This window comes from Homo sapiens, chromosome 6, assembly GCF_000001405.40.
Source record: "Homo sapiens chromosome 6, GRCh38.p14 Primary Assembly".
Classification (NCBI taxonomy): Eukaryota; Metazoa; Chordata; class Mammalia; order Primates; family Hominidae; genus Homo; species Homo sapiens.
The window spans coordinates 147,635,804-147,655,554 of NC_000006.12; the positions used below are offsets into that span (position 1 = coordinate 147,635,804).

Here is a 19,751-nt window from a genome sequence, read left to right on the forward strand (position 1 = left end):
GCCGATTTGAAACAACCCCTCTGGGGCCAACACAGCTGACTTTCAACCTGAAGGTCACTCAAATCAGCTCAACTATGCCAATTCATGAGCTTGAGAATCAGTGTTTGATATTACAAGCTGCTGGGTTGGGGTGGTTGTTACACAGACTTATCTGGCAATAGTATCTATTACAATAGGATCTCTTTTTTCTGTCATTCATTTAGCAGTTGATTCAACCATGACTGATTTGATTCTGTACCATGTGCCAGTTACTATTGTAGGTGTTGGACATATAAAGACACCCATGGGAAAGTCTTTATTGTCTTGATGTTTAGTTTTGAGTCAGGAAAAACAATGTGTCTATACATTATTAGAAGACACGATAAAATCTGGTAAGTGCCCTAGCAGGCCACTGTATCTATGCTCGGGGAGGTCTGAGGAGAGGATATTATGACAGTGGAGGTATTCAGAAAGGCTGAGGGACTATGAACATGCGAGGTAATTCTGTAATAACTAGAATTTAATTCCTCCAAACACCAAGAAATGCCATTTTTGTAAGTTTTACTATCCTACTTTTAGCAGAGATTATATCCTCATCAAAAAATTTAGAAATTAAATATCCCTTATCAAAAATTGAGAAATTAGAATCTCTCCCAGTAATTCATTGATATGAGCATGTAATCAAGACGCATGCATGAAACTGTAAGAATGAAACTACAAAATCTTCTCATTTTGTTCTTTTTCATATCACCTAGCCTGGATTATAAAAATAAAATATCTGTTGTTGGATTGCTGCATCTGTCACTTTTTACCAATTTTTTTGTGGTCACTACCTGGCATGGTGGGTAGAGGTGGTGCTGCCCAATGGTTAGGCATTTGGGTTCTGGGGTCAGACAGACCTTGATGAAGATCCAAGCCTCTCAAATTACTTAACTTTTCTACACCTAATAATCCTTATAAAGGGTCAGCCATGTGGTTACCAAATGTTACATTTTACTCAGTTTGATCTAAACCCTTGATGAACAACCCTGAGACCCAGCTAGCTGTCAACTACTGCTACCTACTATTGTATTATGGTCCACAGACTGATTTCAAATACTTTTCAGTTCAGACCACACAATAGACTTAAGGAATTTTTTTTTTTAAAGACATCGTATTGGGTGAAGAGGGGTGTCTTACAATCACTCATCCAGGGCAATAACGATCTAGCCAAGTGAGAACAATGAAGAGGGAGAAGTGACAAGTCTGCAGGAGTGGCAGCAGGCCCCAGCAGGCTGAGGTCTGGGTGCTGGAAGCCCGTGGAGCTCACATGGGTTCACACGGCACAGAATAGCCCAAGTGTTAGATGGCCGCCATTCTCTAGGACCAGCCAGATCACTCCAGGTAGCAGGGTTCCCTCTGCCAAGCCCTCCCCATATGAACAAAGAAGAGATCCCAGGCCACAACTGAGGGAGTCCTGGTTGGGTGAGCAGAGTGCCTCATCATATTCAGCTCAGTGTGACATACCAGGCTCTCCATAAACCTCACACTTAATGGAATAAGCTCATTTCAGCTCCAGATCCCTAGTGAACTTGTGGACAAGTATGACTTTATCTCTCTGAACCTCAGCTTTCTTAAATAAAAGTGGAGCTGATAATACCTATTCATCACCCTCAGGGTTAAGGATGGAATGAAATACCTTCTATAAACAGACTTCTCTAATGTGCTTATTTGATGGGAGGGATGAAGGGCTATAAGGCTATTGCCATTTTGTGACTCCCCAGATGTGCCAAGGTATTTACATCTCAGCAGGGCTAGGCAGACCTGCAGTCTAAGTGGTAAGACATAGGCGAGGGATTATACACCTTTTCATTTTGAGAAAGGAAAAAGAAACCGTTCACCTCAGGAACACATTTTAGCTTTTCTAAATTGACCCTCATACAGTAAAATGGTATTCACCATGATGGGGACATGAGGACTTACAGGTTCATTCTCACTCTTGTGCACAGCAGCTGTTTCAGGAAAACGAATGGTAGGCTGTCATCAGAGTGCTTTTCTGAGTATGATTTAAGCATCTTCCTTTTCAAAAGCAAGTTCGGTTTTTTTTTTTTTTCATTTTAAACCAATTTAATACCTTTGTTCAGTACCAGCCATTATTATTTTCTCTCATGCACATATTTCAAATTCCTCACATGACAGTTTTGAGAAACTAATGAAAATTAGAGTGTGTTAGCATATCACATTCCTACAGAGACCTGCTAATACATTCAATTACACTTCGTAATGGTAATGGAGACTACAGAGAAAAGCTTTGCCATTTATACCTGCTTGACTGAGTGTTCTCTCTCTCTCTCCCTCCCTCTCTCTCCCCACCAAAAATTTGGGAAAAATATAGCGTAATGCAAAGGAAGTCATTTTCGATGCTATTTTTAAACGTGTCTATTTCTGAAAATGCATTGCTTCTCGATAAGAAACAGGATAGTGATGGCACACGTAACTTACTTCTTATTTATCAGTTAGGAGCATTAGCATTAGTCCATTTATCTAAACTACTGAAATTTTTCCTTCTGCTCACCAAAGACTTCAAAGAAATTTAATAAAGGTATTTTTTCTGCCTAAATATATACTTTGGCAATTTGATTTTGTTTTAAAGTAGGATAATTACATTTTCTCCATCCATTCTGTGAATCACAGCTCCCTTGTGAATTCCTTTGAAAACCCTGATGAGGAATGGAAGATGTGAGTGACTGGTGTGTGATCGTGTTGATGTTTTCTCATCTCCTGAGCCTGGTTTGAAATTCAGCTCTGCCCAGCAGGACTTGCCCTCAGTTTTGAGGCATTATTTTGAGATGTGTGGGCTCGGGTAACTGTGTGTGCGTGGCCAGTGGGTTGGCCAACTCATCTTCTGGCAAATAAGTGTGGGAGACCTCAATCCTTGATGTCAAACACTTTTATAGCCTATTATGGAATAAATTGAATGCAGATTTATTCTTCATAAATGTGTCAGTTTCAATATTTTCTGTTTTACATGATGAACTTCTGGAATTCAGAGACAGTGCTAGTAAATTGATTTTGTGTTACCTGTAATATGGATTTTGACAAAAAATTTAACAATACATTTCTTTACTAGATAATGACTTAGTAAGCTAGTGTTTTCTAATATGTTTATTAATTTGTTTGTATCAGATCAAATACTGGCTGATTTTTCCCAATGAGATCGAAAAGTTAGGACAGATATATAGACTTTGGCTGACCTGGGTGAGTTCTGTGCCAGGCATTGTGCTATCTATTGTGATTCTAAAGATAGACAAGGCGGAGTTAGTTATTTAAACTGCAAATTGCGAGTACTTGGCAAATGAAAGTTATTCATTTTCTGACCTTTTTTGAATTTTCTAGTCTTGGAATCCATGACAGGAAGCCAGAATTTCTAGCTTTGATGTGGTTTCAATTTGATGTAGTCTAAGCAGAATACTATAATTGTATGAATTAAGAAAATATAAAAGAACAATTAATGAAGTAGATAATTTTTAAAATGAGAAACATTATTCATTATTTGGTCTATGAAAATATACATGTATCCAAGATAGGATATTAAAGTTTTATTCTATGTAGCCCACACATATATTTATGCATGTGAATGGTATTTTCAATACACTTTGTGCATAGCTGTGTTCAGATCCCTCAAAGCACAGCCCGTGATGAGTAAGAAAGACTGTAGCTGCAGCTCTGGGGTCCCCGAGGAGCTATGGCTCATCCTCATCTCAGCGGGCTTCACTCCCAAGGGGTGGGTGCTACATCTCCATCCTCCCCTGTCCCAGCAACATTCTCCTCTTTTGTTAGCCAGGAATCCTGGAAGAATAGCAAGAGCAGAGGGTAGCATAAGGCTTGTGTTCCTTCCTAACTGCTGCCTTTCTGATTAGGAAGCATTGAAAAAGGTGCCTGTGTTTCCTCTGCATCTTTCTTTGGGAGAATTTTTCATGTAAATCATGAGATAAGAGTTATTCAGATTGATCAGTTTGAACATCCATTCTGTTTTGGTTGGCAGTCATGCTCTAAAAACTTCAGTGTAGATCATTTTTAATAACCATATGGAAACAAGGGCAATTTCTAATTGAGATTTTTTTTTTCTTTTCTATTAGAACAGGTTGCCACTGACTGTAAAGGGAAAGAATATTGGAAGTTATTTTTAAAGGTAGAGATGGGAGAAAGGAGTAATTTGAAATCTGAATTGTTCAGCTGCCGTCACACACATTATGGCTAAAAAGCTTCATGGTAAAGAATGACGGCTGGGCGCGGTGGCTCATGCCTGTAAATCCAGCACTTTGGGAGGCTGAGGCGGGCAGATCACGAGGTAAAGAGATCGCGACCATCCTGGCCAACATGGTGAAACCCTGTCTCTACTAAAAATACAAAAATTAGCTGGGTGTGGTGGCACGTGCCTGTGGTCCCAGCTACTCCAGAGGCTGAGGCAGGAGAATCGCTTGAACCCGGGAGGTGAAGGTTGCAGTGAGCTGAGAATCCATACCACTGCACTCCAGCCTGGTGACAGAGTGAGACTTCATCTCAAAAAAAAAAAGAAAAAAAAAATTGCCGGGTGTGGTGGTGTACACCTGTAATCCCAGCTACTCCGGAGGCTGAGATAGGAGAATCACTTGAACCTGGGAGGTGGAGGTTGTAGTGAGCTGAGATCACGCCACTGTCCTCCAGCCTGGGTGACAAGAGCAAGACTCTGTCGCAAAAAAAAAAAAAAAAAAAAAAAAAGAATAACAGACATAAAATTAAGCAGAAGTCTGCAAAATCTAGTCAAGATTCAAGGAGGAAGCCTTAAGCATGGTTAATGCTAAAGTTTTTCTCACATATTGAAGAAGGACATATTATTAACTTCAACATTTACCCAAATAAACCAGTCCCATCCCATTTAAAACAGGTTCAATGGGAAGCATCATTATTAAAATAAATAAAATTGTATGATGATGCTATTTCCTCAATACCAAAGTGGAAAAGCACCTAGAAAAGTTGCCAAGCCAAACAGCCACAGGCTTTGCAAGATTGTGCATCAATGCTATTGACCTACAAAGTTAGACCTGAGGACTTTGTCTTTAAGATCACTTAGATTCTTATCTTGTTGCTTAGCAATTAAGTATTTTTTAATTTAATGTTAGCTTCCCTTGTCCTGCCTCCTCACCTCCTCAAAAATCCCTTTGAAAATTCGCTAGACTCTTGTAGAAACTTTAAAATTGCATAATAGTAAGTTTGATTCCTTAATCCTCTGTAAACCTGCTTTAACATCCAGTAGACGTTAACAATGGTTGGACACTGATGGATAGTGATTGCTTTGTTGAATGGGGTGGGACACAGGATCTCAGAAGCTCAGCTTTTTAACCCAATCTCTAAATTCTTCTTCATATGAGAGCCTCCTGAAATGCCCAGCTCCAGCAATTAAGATATCTGATTCAAATATGGATGTCCAACATTGGAAGATTTCCTCCAAGAATTTCTTTTCTCACATTTCTTCATTTTAATGGGCTTCGGCAGCACATGATGAAATTTTCTGCCCACTTGCTGGGGAGCTCAATTTGGGGGCTTCATTGGCTACGGTGAAGTCAAAGGACCCTCATCACAATATATGTGATGGAGCAATTGACCTTTATTTGGAAGATGGACCTTTTGTACCTGGTAAAGTGAAGTGCTCAGGAGACAGCCAGAGAAAGCAGGGGCACGTCGCAGACATTTTGCATGTCAGGACAACCTTTTCAACTTGGTTTTTGCCTTGTAAAACAAACTAACTCTCTTTCTCTGTCTTTAATTTTTTTTTTTTTTTTTGCTCAAAAGTTTAATGGTTGTATGCCCATATTCTCATAAGTTTTCAAAATGTCTGTAACGAGTGTGTGTACTTTTAAATGATGATTCAGATCTTAGCTTTTTAAGAGTTATGTACATGGTTAACATCCAGCGGTCTCAAAACTCCGCTGTGCTCTTTTCTTCACTGTTGCCAAGCCTTTGTGGTTACAGAATCTTTTAACTTTACCTGTAAACTTTAAATAACTTAACTTTTAATGTTTTGAAGTAATCTTGTTTGTTTCTTTAGAGTTTGAATTCATGCTTACCTAAAATCATTTTCCCCTCAATTTATTTATAAAATGCTTAGAAGGAAATCTTATTCTTAGAATACTTATTTTTTCTGTCATACAACAATGACAGTCTAACATGAAGATGTTTGATTTATTTTCCTATTTTATTGTTCTGCTTTAATTCATACAGATCCAGAAGTAATGAATTATACCTTTTGTTAAAACTTTCTCTTTTGTTTAATGGAAAGTGAACAACAGGGTTGTTATACACACATTACAAAACTTTTTTCTTTTTCTTTGTAAGAAAATAATGAGCTAGACTGCAACCACACTGTAAGAATGTTTGTGGCATTTGTGATTATTTCTCTGTTTTAAGAAGTCCATTTCCTCTTTCTTACTTTAAAAATTGGATAAAAGTTTTTATCTTTTTGTTCTTTTCATTCTACCTATTGTCTTAGTGCATTTAATTCTATATGACAAGGGGCTGTGAAAAAGATCTCGAATAATGTTCCCATTGGTAGATGTGCTGCCTCTCTCAGCCTCAGTTTCCTCATCTGTAAAATGAGAGAGTTGTATGAGATGATCCCAGAGGTCTCACAAAGCTCTAAGTTAGGTGCCACTTTAATGATACCAGTGAGCAAGATGAACAAGTCATTTCAGTGGCTGAATTACCCTGCTCATGTTCCACATTCTTGAGATGTGACCTTTACATTCAAACTGCGAGTTCGTCATCTCTGGATTCCCTGAAAGACATTCATTCTTAAAGATGTCTGCCAGCGGCCATTTAGCCCAACCCTTTCATTTTCCAGATAAGAAAAATAAAACAGTGTTTTATTGAAACATCAATAGGAAAGCATATAAACTGACTTTTTGTTTTCTTTCTAATAGCTATGCAATCCCAGTCTTACTATAAATAATCCCAAACTAAGGCTTCAAAACCACAAAACTCATTCTGTAAACATTCTGTCTAAGGCTAAGACCTACCTACTGCCTCTATGGGAGCCCTTCTCTCCTGCCTGGGGTGCAGGGCCTCAGTGCTAATATGAACAGGGTCCCAGTCGTTAGTTGGCTGCCATCTGCACTGTTGTCACCCCAGAATAAATAATTGAGAAGCACATGCCACTGAGGTGTGCCTAATTCTGCGAAAATAACTGTTACTTCCCCAGATCCAAGAAATTTAGCAAACTCATCACACTGTAATAACAATTTTATTCATTATTAATCCTGGTGAGGAATACTTCAGCTGCTTTACATCTATTTCATACCCTCCACTTTGACCCCTCTCTTTGATACTGCAAATCCTCACGTTGAAGGGCATGTGAAATTATTGGTGAATCAGAAAGGTGATGTTTCATTCCGTATATTAATGCTTCTTTTGTAAATTAAGAATTTATTTTTGTTTGTAGTTAACTCAAATATGCTTTTTTTTATGGGCTTCAGTGTTCCATTAATTTTTAAAGGAATTAAATATTTGCTTAGATGTGCCTTCCACAGTTCTTTCAATCATGTGGGTAGATTTTTTCCCCTTAATTGTCTATGTTAAAAAGGGGAAAAAAACAACTAAAACACACAGTAAAGAAGGTAATTTTTTCCAGCTGTGTAGTAGTTCTATTCCTTCATTTGACTTTGATGTAGTCAAAAAGTGGCCGCCTGGTCTGACTTAAACTTTACTTCTTTTACCCCGTGGCAACATTTAGAGGGAAGAGAAATACAATCTCTAACTGGAAAATCTCCCAAATTCATTAGACTTACCACTTATTTACCAATCAGAAGTTATTTTAAGTTGCGGTTTTCTGCTCCAGTAAAGTGTATAGTCTGAAGTATTTTGTTACTCAGAATTTGGTGTATTTTATGGAAGACTTTACTAAAAGGAAAGAGACAGAAAAGAGGGAAAGAGAAAGAGGGAAGGAAAGAAGGAAGGAAGGAAGGAAGGAAGGAAGGAAGGAAGGAAGGAAGGAAGGAAAGAGAGAGAGAGAGAAAGAAAGAAAGAATGTCCTAAGGTAAAGAAGAGTCTTTACTAAAAAGGATGGAAGGAAGGGAGGCAGGAAAGAAAGAAATGATAAGTTCCTAATACATGAGCAAGGGTTTGTCTGGGATCTCAACTTGCCTGGGGTTAACTAGTGTTGTAGGTCCAAAGTAACTGGATTTAAATGTCATACATAATGACAAGTAGGAAAATTGGTACGTTATTTGCATGTGAATGGGGATAGAGGTGACTGGATGTTGATTCATTGCATGATGAATGTTTGCCCTTGGTGAAATGTTTTACCTTCCATGAAATTATAAACAATATTTCTTACTGACTGTAAAATGTAGACACCAAGCCTAGAAGTGTCTGCTCCTGAAATGCTGCTCTAATTAGAAAACTGTTTTTAAAAAACAAAACAAACAAAACCCAATCAGAGGAGGGAGGAATCTTGGAATTCTACACTTTTGAGGAAGGACTTGCCTTCATGTATTGCTTTAGGTTTAGGAGAGTTGGGAGTGGACCTGGGAAATATAATTCCAAGACGCATTAGAGATAAATGGACAAAGACAGTTTACTCACATTCTTTGGAAAATATTTTTGAAGTCTCTAAAATAAATTAGATTTATTATTCTTATACTGTTTTGTGTTAGTAATGTTTCTCTATATATTGATCTAATGTGCTTTTTAATTTGTAAAGCTAATACTTTTGCAGGAATAAACACAATCTCAGCTGTGAGACTATTAAGGAAAAAGTTTTTTCTAGATAATGCATCAGTATGTCTTCAAAACTTATAATTAGAGAGTCTTAGAACTTGATAAAAAAAGTTTCTTAATTTTTTGGAGAAATATTATCAAATATTTCCATTGATTGAAAACATTGATTTTCCAAGGTCACTTTTCTTCTTAAGCTTTTCCTTCAATTGGATTATAGTGATTGAATGATGGAAAACTTTCCCCAGTATTCTGCCGTGACAACTTGCAGTATATGTGTATTACACATTTTAACCTAGTAATTCTCCAAATCATCACAAGAGACATGGGATTCATGGAAACCCTTGGATTAGCCCAGGGTCAAACAATAAATTAGGATCAGTGTCAGAATTAGAGTTCACTAGGGACGCTGAATTTTGAGTTTGTTGTTGAAGCATACTGGTTGTGGTTTGATATGCATAGAATCAGAGGTCAGGATGCTCACAGATAGGTTTTTGTACTCTCTGAAAAGACACTACAAAACCAAACATCAGAGAGCATGCAGGATGCCCGCTTCTTAAGATGTGGAATGCCAGAATCCCCGGACTTTAACAAGGAGATGCCATAATCAGAGGCTCCGTGGGACTTCCAGGCTGGGGCAACCCCACACGACAGGACATCTTACTGATTTGAAGAAATGCCACTAGCAGTTGATGGCATGTGCAAGGAGGGATGACAATCGCCACTTGGGGGTCACTGGGCCTGACATATTTCTTTCAAGAAATTGAACAAAGGCCAGCTCCCCTGGGCTATGTAAGGTAAACATTCCAATCAGCATCACCCATGGAAGCTGATTTGGAAATCATTCTCAAGAAATACTGTCCAAGCTCATTTCTCTAAGCCCACGCAATATAATTTTAAAGCAAAAAGAACATTGACCCTTCCTCTGCTTGAGGTGGTAATGTTGATTCCCATGTTAGAATAATAGAATTTTTCTATACGTTATGTATTTATACACTTACTGCAGATTCAGCACAGAGGCCATCCTGGGAAAAAGAGCAAGTTACATTGAATTCTAATGTGTTACATATGATCTTGCACAGGTGTGTGAATACTTTTCATCTCAAAGCATTTCCCATAGTTTTATATAGGAGCAGGGTATAAGCTCGGATAATGGTGAAGTAGGCCAAGGAGAAAACCTAAGAATTGATGAGGTCTGTGATAAATTGTGGCACCTCAGTGTCATATGAGTTGAGTTGGTCCTATGCAGCTCTAGCTGCTGATTGTGTGAGAAATACAGACCCAGTGCTATCAGACCTTAAGACTTGCTTTCACAATAAATTAACACTCCAGGTTTTTAGGTGAAACTTTGCCATCTAATGAAATACATCCACGGGCCGGAACTGGCTCTCGGATCATCAGTTTGTGATAGACTAGGATCATTACCAGTGGCTTAGTATATGTCAAGTTCTGTGTCAACTGTTATCTTTGTCTCTATTTCTATATCTGTCTGTCTGTCTATGTATCTATCTATGTATCTATCTATCTATCTATCTATCTATCTATCTATCTATCTATCTATCTAGTCTTATCTATTCACAGTTGACCCTTGAACAATATGGGGGTTAGAGGTGCCAACCCCCTGTGCAGTCAAAAATTCAAGTATAGCTTTGACTCCCTCAAAACTTAAAGTACCAATACTCTACTGGTGACTGGAAGGAAGCCTTACTGATAACATGAGTAGTCAATTCATAGACCAGCGTGGTGGTATGTGCAGTGAGCCATGATCATGCCACTGCACTCCAGCCTGGGCGACAGAGTGAGGCCCTATCGCAAAAAAATAAAATGAGAGATACATTTGCATCAATTGTTTATGCTTCATGGATTCTTAAATATTCAATCCTTCTTGACCTGTTCGGTTTCCACTTATGTTTATTGGTAACTATCACTTCTTAATCTCAAAGGATTTCGATTGGCCTGTTTATGTCTCATGCTTAATAATATCCAGCTTGATACAGTACTTGTGTACTGTAGTATGCTAAACTAGAGAGCTTATCGTTATCACTGCACAATAATCTGTAGAAAACTTTGTAATTTGAAAACTTCAGGTGGCACTTGTAGTGTTGTATAAATATATGCAGAAATAAAACCATATTCAGAATTATTTCTTTTAGAATTAGAGTAATCATGCTTTAGAAAAAACTGCATTTCTTATCTCTTTTAATGTGTATAAAATAAACTTGAAATTTCACTTTGGGTTACCATAGAAAATAGTTGATCATATATATTTTGTGTTATATGTATTACACACTGTGCTCTTAAAGCAAGCCAGATAAAAGAAAATGTTATTAAGAAAATCATAAAGGCCAGGCGTGGTGGCTCATGCCTGTAATCCCAGTACTTTGGGAGGCCAAGGTGGGTGTATCACCTGAGGTCAGGAGTTCAAGACCAGCCTGGCCAACATGGTGAAACCTCATCTCTAATAATAATAATAATAATAATAATAATAATAATAATAATAATAAAATAGCTGGCCATGGTGACAGGCACCTGTAATCTCAGCTACTCAGGAGGCTGAGGCAGGAGAATTGCTTGAACCTGGGAGGTGGAGGTTGCAGTGAGCTAAGATCATGCCATTGCACCCCAGCCTGAGTGACAAGAGCAAAACTCCACCTCAGAAAAAGAAAATCATAAAGAATAGAAAATACATTTATTACTCATTAAGTAAAAATAGATCATCATAAGGTTCTTTATTCTGTCATCTTCATGTTGAGTGGCTGAAGGGAGGAAGAAACATTTAAAACATAGAACAGGCCAGAAATGGTGACTGAATAGATGCAGGGGATGATCAAGATGAGGTTAAGTTTTCTGGTTTAATTAATTGTGCAGTTGGTGAAACCATTCACCAAGATTTGGAGCTTGAAAGAGGGGGGTTTGAAGGGGGTGGCTGATGAAGCAATCAGGTTTGGATGGGTTGAGTCCGAGTTTCAGGTGCCAGTGGGACATTCAAGTGGAAATTTCCAGAAGTCATTTGGAGAGGTTTGATGCTCTAGGGAGCAACTTAGGCTGGATAGATGATTATAAGTGGTAGATAGTGAGGGAAAATATGGAAGAGGATGAGTTGGCCACAGTAGGGTGTGTATTAAGAAGCAGCACAAACACTTTGAGAGTATTAGTTCCAGACATTGTGAGTTGCTAAAAGCAGCCTTCATTAGGGCTTCTTGATGCCCTGGCAAGATGTCACTCTGAACAGATAGAATATCAGCACCCTTCAGAATTCACCTTCCAAGAGGAAATTTAGGCAACTTGAGAGGCATCGCTCACTGAATAACTCACACCCTCTTCTGAAAATGTAGCCTTTGAGCTTATCTCAGTAAAAGATAATGCCTCTACAATTTAGGTAACAGAGTGTTGATGTTCACTCAAACCCGTTCTTCTGTTGGACCACTACAAGAGATTAAGTAAATTGATCAAGGTTACGTGACAGAATTTGAACCCAGGTCTGTAGGTCTTGACTTCAACCCATGATCAGTTAGGTTGATCCTGTTAGTGGGGAGACTTCCCTCTAAGGCCAGCTGTCTGTTTTATAGAAGCAGATTTGTGAAATGCATCAGTGCATGTATTAGTCCTTTTTCACACTGCTATAAAGACCTCCTGAGACTGGATAATTTATAAAGGAAGGAGATTTAATTGACTCCGTGTTCAGCATGGCGAGGGAGGCCTCAGGAAACTTACAGTCATGGCAGAAGGCAAAAGGAAGTGAGGCATCTTCTTCACAGGGCGGCAAGAAGGAGAATGAACACAGGAGGAACTACCAAACACTTAAAAAACCATCAGATCTCGTGAGAACTCACTCATTATCATGAGAACAGCATGTGGGAAACTACTGTCATGATTCAATTACCTCCACCTGGTCTCTCCCTGTATATGTGGGTATTATGGGGATTACAATTCAAGCTGAGACGTTGGGTGGAAACACAGCCAAACAACATCAGTGCATAAACTAGTCCACTTCCAATAAAGGAGCTCAAAGCCTCTGGCTGACAAGGGTCCACCCCCACTGTCATCCTCCTTTTAGCTGATGTACAAGACCTTACAACCATTCTTCTGCTAGAAATAGAAAACTCTGAAAGAGATATAAACAGTAGTCTCAACTTTGGATCCTCAGATTTGGAGATGATGTGTCTAAAATATCTCTGTTCAGGTGGGAGAAATGTGCTTGGTACTCTTTTGGCTGCATCTGCAAGTCATCAAGAAACATAAAGAAAGTAATTGGTCCAAAACTTTATTTGGAATTGTAGTTCAATCAAAAATTTACTTTTAACTTCTGCATTTATGTACCAGTTAAAAGGCACTGGCCAATGATGCTTCACTATATACATTTAATTACCATAAAAACTTGATAGAAAACATTATTTTTCTTCCACACTAACATTGCATTAAACTTTAGCCATTTGAACTGATAAAAGCCATCACCCTGCAATGAAGAATTAATCGTGGAAGTGCATTCAAATAAGAGAATATTTTTTAGATGACCTCTGTTGGATTCTTATTAGCAATGTTTATGTTCCATGTAATGTTTTCCATATGCCGTTACTGTTTGAAAGTTTGGTCTTGCATTTATTCTTCTCACCAGCTGTGGAAGTCCAGACCCTAGGCAGCAGCTTCTACCCAAATGCCTGCATAATCTGGCATTCTGGCCACCAGAACTATTTATTTTATTTTAGTTTAGTTTTGTTTTTCATGGAATGAGGGTTTGGGTCACATATTTGTGAATATAATCATAAGCTTCAGATGTCTTTTATCTTTATGATGGGGCCATCTTGTCATATGCTTAGCTGACTTCCAATTTGCGGAATATTGGCATGTTTCATAGCTCTAAAGATAAAACCAAATATTCTAGAAAATTCACATGAAATGAATTATACTGTGACTTTTTCAAAATAGCTTCATTATTTTTATAAAAGGGATGTATGCTCAATGAATGAAAAGAAAGTCAGTTAATAAAAGTATAAACAAGCTGGGCATAGTGGCTCACACCTCTAATCCCAGCACTTTGGGAAGCCAAGGCAGGCAGATCACCTGAGGTCACGAGTTCGAGACCAGCCTGGCCAACATGACAAAACTCCGTTTCTACAAAAATACAAAAATTAGCCAGGCATGATGGCACATGCCTGTAGTCCTACCTACTCTGGAGGCTGAGGCAAGAGAATCGCCTGAACCCAGGAGGCAGAGTTTGTAGTGAAGTGAGATCGCGCCACTGCGCTCCAGCCTTGGCAATAGAGCGAGACAACGTCTCAAAAAAAAAAAAAAAAAAGTACCAACAGGTGGAAAAAAGCCACCTGAAACTTTACCAGCTGGGCAAGAACATGGCTCAGTGACCGCTCTCCCCAGAACTCTTGCTCTGTGAATATATTACCATGCCTTTTAAATGGTATTGTTTATTAATAAGGGTATAAGTGTACCTTATATGTTGACTTACAGAGAGTGACAAAATAATTTATTGCCTACATCTGGACACTTTGGAGAGTGAAAGGTGCTATTAACAATCAGACTGGCACAACAGATGTGTACCTGAACTGTCCCAGGCACCTTGAACTAGTATTGCCCTCCACTTAGACCCTTTACCATACACGAAGTTATTCATTTATTACGCATTCATTGAACATTTATTCAATGCCAGACATTAATTAATAAAGTTAATAAAACACACAAGGGCCTACAGTTCAGCAGAAGATAAAGTGTCACTCAGTAGGGACTGTGGTGAAGGACACCTGTCATATTGTAAGCCATATGGACTCTCAGGGAAGGTAGAGGTAACTTTCAAAGGATTAGTGGAGTTAGGGTGGCAAAGGAGGGGGCAAGGGGCATTCTCCCTACAGTAAGTGATTTATGCAAAGATTGGAAGCAACAGAGCATATGGGAATTGGGGAAACTGCAAAAGGCCCAGGATGGTTTGAACCTTTGGTGGAAAGAAGAGGAGTAGCTGAAGACGAGGCTGAACATGAACCGCCTGGTATGCAATGCTGTAGAGATTGGGTTTCACCCTAAGGACACGGGCATGTTTTAAACAGAGAAGTCATCAGACTTGCATTTTAGAATTCTGGATGAAGGTGTTACTCGTGGAAAAGATTGAGGTGTATCTGATGTGATTAAGGAGGTTGCATCAACGTGCAAGGGACAGGAGAGAGTTGTGGAGTCAAATTCAGGCACCAGTCTGGATGGTGGAAACATTCACAGAAACAGAACTTTCAGGGAGGAGATGGTTTGGGTGAAAGGGAAGAGGGTGATGCGGTTTCCATGTGTTCAGTTTCAGGCTCCAGTAGGGCATCCAGGCGGAGATACCTACCTGTGCAATTTTGGTTGGAACGCAGAAGACAGATCTAGGTCAGGGAGAGAGATTTTGGGAGTTGGTGGCTTTTAGGCATATTTAAAGCCATGGGAATTTGAGGCTAGTTGGATTTTTATTACTTATGAATTTCTATTAACTCTGGTTCAAGGTTATTGAATTTGTGATAGAGTTGAATAAATGGTAGCTAAAATTATGACATTTTGAAATGTATTCATCCCCACCCATATTCATGAAAGAAACATTTGTCTGGAAGATATAAAACGCCACTATTCAGAATGTATTGTCCAAAGGAATTGGCAAAGAGATTTTTAGCCAAAAATCAAACTTAGAACATTCCCCATTCTTTCCCTTTCATAATAGAGAAAAGTGATTAAAGCTCTTTGGCTAAAAATAGCAAACGATTACGGTCCAGCTCGCATTGTAGGAACAGGAAGCCTTTGGTTCATTGAACTCCACAAACAATCCCCACACATTGTAGCCACTGTAACTTTCTCCATTGCTAACTCTTTAACATATGATTTTCCCTCTGAGAGTTGCTGGTCTTGCTAGTTGCTATGGTCTGAATGTTTGTGTCCCTTCCAAATTCATATGTTGAAATCCTGACCCCCAGGGTGATGGTATTAAGAGGTGGGGCCTTTGGGGAGGTTGATTAGGTCATGAGGGAAGTGCTCTTATGAATGAGATTAGAGCCCTTACAAAAGAAGCACAGGGAAGCTCCTGGCCCTTTCCACCGTGTGAGGACACAGTGAGAAGGTGGCCATCTGCAGGCAGACACCAGAACCCAACCATGCTGGCACCCTGATCTCTGATTCCCCAGCCTTCAGATCCATGAGAAATATATTTCTGTTGTTTATAAGCCACCCGGTTTGAAGTATTTTATTATAGTGGCCCAAACAGATGAAGACTACTATTCAACTTTTACATAAAGAACAAAATTAAATCAGAGCAAGAATTATCAGAGAATATGGGAGCTGTGAGTCACATTAGAGATTCTTTTACCAACTGTGTCATTTTTCTAGACAAGGCAGCTGAAGACCAGAGTGATTCAGTGCTTTCCTCCAAGACCACACCCAGGCCCGCACAGAGTGGGGGTCGGAGTCCCACAGCTCAACACCAACCCCCGCATTCAGCCTCTTACCAGCCAGGCCCCTGTGGATGATTTTTGCCATTTAAAAGTCATTTGCTCTTTCACAATACTGATAAATAAAAGATCAGAATAACGTATCTTAATTGGTCAAAATGTAGGGACAGAAAATGAAAGGAGACAAAGGTGCATTTCTTACACAGTTGACTTAGGCTAGCATTTTCCACTGTAACTGCAAATATACAAAGTGTGTCATCTTTCTGGTTATATGTCCTTTACTTAATTGCACTAAAAGCTACTTGGTTTCATCAGAGGTTCCAAATATTGCCTCTGGTTTAATAGCTGAAGGTTTTTTTGTTTGTTTGGTTGGTTGGTTGGTTTTTTTTTAGAAAGTGACTTTTGAAACCATATTATAAGTGTTTTATAATAATTGCCTTTCTCCTCTCAACCTAGCAAAAACATATAGATAAAAGGACAATCAAGTAGAGATTCTGAGCTTTTATTAATTTTCTGTAATGCTATTGAACCAAAGCTCAAGGACATTGAGACACCATGGATCAGTAGCAATCATGGAGGAGGCTCCCTGGTTCAGTAGCAATGGTGGTCTAGACATGTGAGACACCATGGTTCAGCAGCAGTAGTAGGGGAGGCAGGAGACTGGACTGGCTGGCCAAGTGGCCTTCTGGGGCTCCTCATCTCGGATCCCTATGTATTCACTCCTGAATATGTCACAAGTATTGGGCTAGATTGTTTTTAAAGGTTCCTGGCAACTCTAACAGTTTATTATCCTACAGTCAAGACACACATTTTCATTTTATCACAATTTCTGATTCTTCACACTTTTTCTTATCCCATATGATGTGTTGGTGAATCCTGTCACTTTGTTTGGTCAGCATTAATGTACTATTTATTATTTATTTACTTGGTGCCAGCAACTGTCTTAGATGTCTTTTTGCCTGTCATTTTCTTCCATTCATTACAGCTGCCTCCTCTGAGCATTGAGAACCCCCAGAATTCAGCGACTTCGATTTGTTTGCCTCCCAGAGACTAAGCCAACCTTCCTAGTTTACACACAAAATGCTCCCACTTAAGTACATACTCTACCATATTCCTTCCTGAAAGTATAAATATACTTTCTGAGTAGTCCAAAGTGTTAATGTTTGATTATATTGATTTGGAATTAAAAAAATGAGAAGCAAGTTGAACAAATCATTTCACATTTAAAATCCACGTATTTCCTAGAAATGTACCAAATTTTGATCTAAATAGGAAGTAAGGTATTTTCAGAGATAAATACTTCAAAATGGAGTTAAATAGACTTGCTTTATACTCAGAGATTCAAATAAGAAGATGATCTAAAATTTGGTTACCTTATTATTTGTTTTTAATTCCATTTTCCTTTGATTGCCTCATTTATAAAATGGCAGCCAAAGACATTTTGGACAGTGAGAGTATGTGTCTGATGTGCATATCACAGCTATAAAGTGTGTACATGTGAAGACTTCACACATCCATATGCATGTTATCCGTGGCTCCGTCGAGCAGTCCTCCTCTTAATTATGCTTTATATATGCTTTGTGCAGCCAGGCATTGATCTTTCAAGTACCGGTGTCTGGTTCAAAGACTTGTAATTAGGCAGAAAGATCTGGTAAAATGGATTCTATGGAATTATTCAAATGCTCTGTGTGTATGAAATTGTTCATCTAGAATTATTTATCTGGAAAAAAAGACACTTTCAAATATGCACAGAGCCTATTTTTTTAAAAATTGTATTCCTTTCCATTATTTACTGATATTCCATGCACTTCTTGGACATTTGCAAATTGCAGGGCTTTGTTTTTTGTTTTTTCTGTTTCGATATGAAGCTGCTTTGTTCTTTCCTGTGGGCCTGTTAATTGGTGAGCTCTTTATCCATGAGATCAAGAATCAGGGGCTTTTTATTAACTCATTGTGAGCTCTAAGATATTCCCATGGGCATGGAGAAGAGAAGTTGCCTTTGAGACTTCATGCTTCTCCTATTCTTTTACAACACTGGTCACAGCCCAGAAGATGTAATCAACAATGACACGAATTTAATCCACAGTTTAGAATTAGAATCCCCTGATACTGAAAATTCTATAATGAGCCTTTTTGTCTTTTTTCCTTTATTTTGTTAGCATTTACAATTCCTTTTACTTGTGCACGCTTTCTCCTCCAGGATAAAATCCTGTTAGGGATTTTAAAATAAATAATTGAATTCTGCATTCTAGTTCTAAAAGCCATAAAAGGAACAATGTTTATTTTTCTGGAAGACATTGTCATGGTCTGTAGGTGGTGATGTGAAAATTCTTAGAATTTTCTTTCTTGAAGATGGAGAGACCAGTAAATTCCTCTTTTCTCTTTCACACATAAATACACCATCATCACATACCTTTCTATAAAAGTATGAATTTCTCCGCTAAGTAGTCTGAGAAATTATCTCTATACAAAGAGCTCCGTGGGGGATTTGCAGGGTTTGGAAGTGAAGAAGAGAATGAAAGGAGCCCCTGAACAGTTTCAGTGACTCTCAGGAATTTCAATTCTCCATTGCTACATGGCTTATTATTATTATTATTATTTTTACCAAAACATATGATACCCCTTTCTAGGCCACTACTGTTGCTCCATTTTAGCGTTTTCAGAGAATGTTTTTTCTTCCTTCTGATTAGCCTGTTTTTCTGCTCCTGCTGCCGCTGCTGCTGCTATCCTGATGTAAGTGCCTGTGAGTAAGCAGTGAGCTCCAGTGTACAGGGTTTATTTTTTTTCTCCATGATTCTCAACAGCTTTTCTATTAGAATGATTTTATGCCTGGATGGTTTGACTATCTTTTTCTCAAAAAAAAAAAAATATAAAACAAAGTGCAGGAAACCCAAAATACCTTCCCAACAATTAGAATTTTGCTTGTTGTCAGTTTGCCCTCCATCCTCCTAACTGAGTCACTAGAAGCATCTGGGTCAGCCTGGGGATTGGTGGCAGGCACGTCTGGGGTCCTTTTGATTGACAAGCACAATGAACCCAAGTGATCAGGACCATGAGTGATGATTCACCACATGTGTGTTTAGTTATCATCATCAAGGCACCTAGCAATTTTACTTCTGAACATTGAAACTCATTTTTGCTCTTTCCCTCTGTATTTTCCTTGCTTTCCCCACATTTTTTCCTGAAGAATATGTTGGTTCCTCTTAATGTTTCATTTCAGGCTAGTTTGGGCACACAAATTTTCCATTTCCCAAGATATTCTCAAAGTGAAGAAGGCACTTCTTCTGATATACACACAGAAACAGGCTTAACATGTAAGTGTAAAAAGAACACTTGACTAGCTGCTAAGCAACCTGCATGACAGGAGAGATTTTGTACTATCTTGCTATGTGACTTTAGGTAAGTCACTTTACTGGTCCTCATTTTTGTCACATGTATGCCTTTCCCAACTAAAAAATTCAATTATTTTTATTTGTATAAATTTTCTCTTCTGAAACAATATTTATGCATGTATATCCACGTTGCCCTAGTTTTTTTTATAATACCTTTAAGCATCTTAAAACTAGAATACTACTGAATGGACAGAAAAACAAATCTGTACACAGAGACATTCAGAGTGACTTTATTAAT

At 38.5% G+C, this 19,751-nt stretch overlaps 1 protein-coding gene across 1 annotated transcript in view, besides 1 other annotated feature; it reads left to right on the forward strand.

Moving 5' to 3' along the window:
* The window catches only part of SAMD5 (sterile alpha motif domain containing 5), a 445,991-nt gene that overhangs the window by 127,114 nt on the left and 299,126 nt on the right, over positions 1-19,751 (forward strand). The window lies entirely within an intron of this gene.
* Positions 19,000-19,169: an enhancer, noted in NCBI's record as "experimental_90808 CRE fragment used in MPRA reporter constructs". NCBI's record gives its function as "activates a minimal promoter by MPRAs in K562 erythroleukemia cells, with activity observed for the non-introgressed 6:147976024 variant allele {active_cell/tissue: K562}" and the evidence as "EXISTENCE:reporter gene assay evidence [ECO:0000049][PMID:34662402]".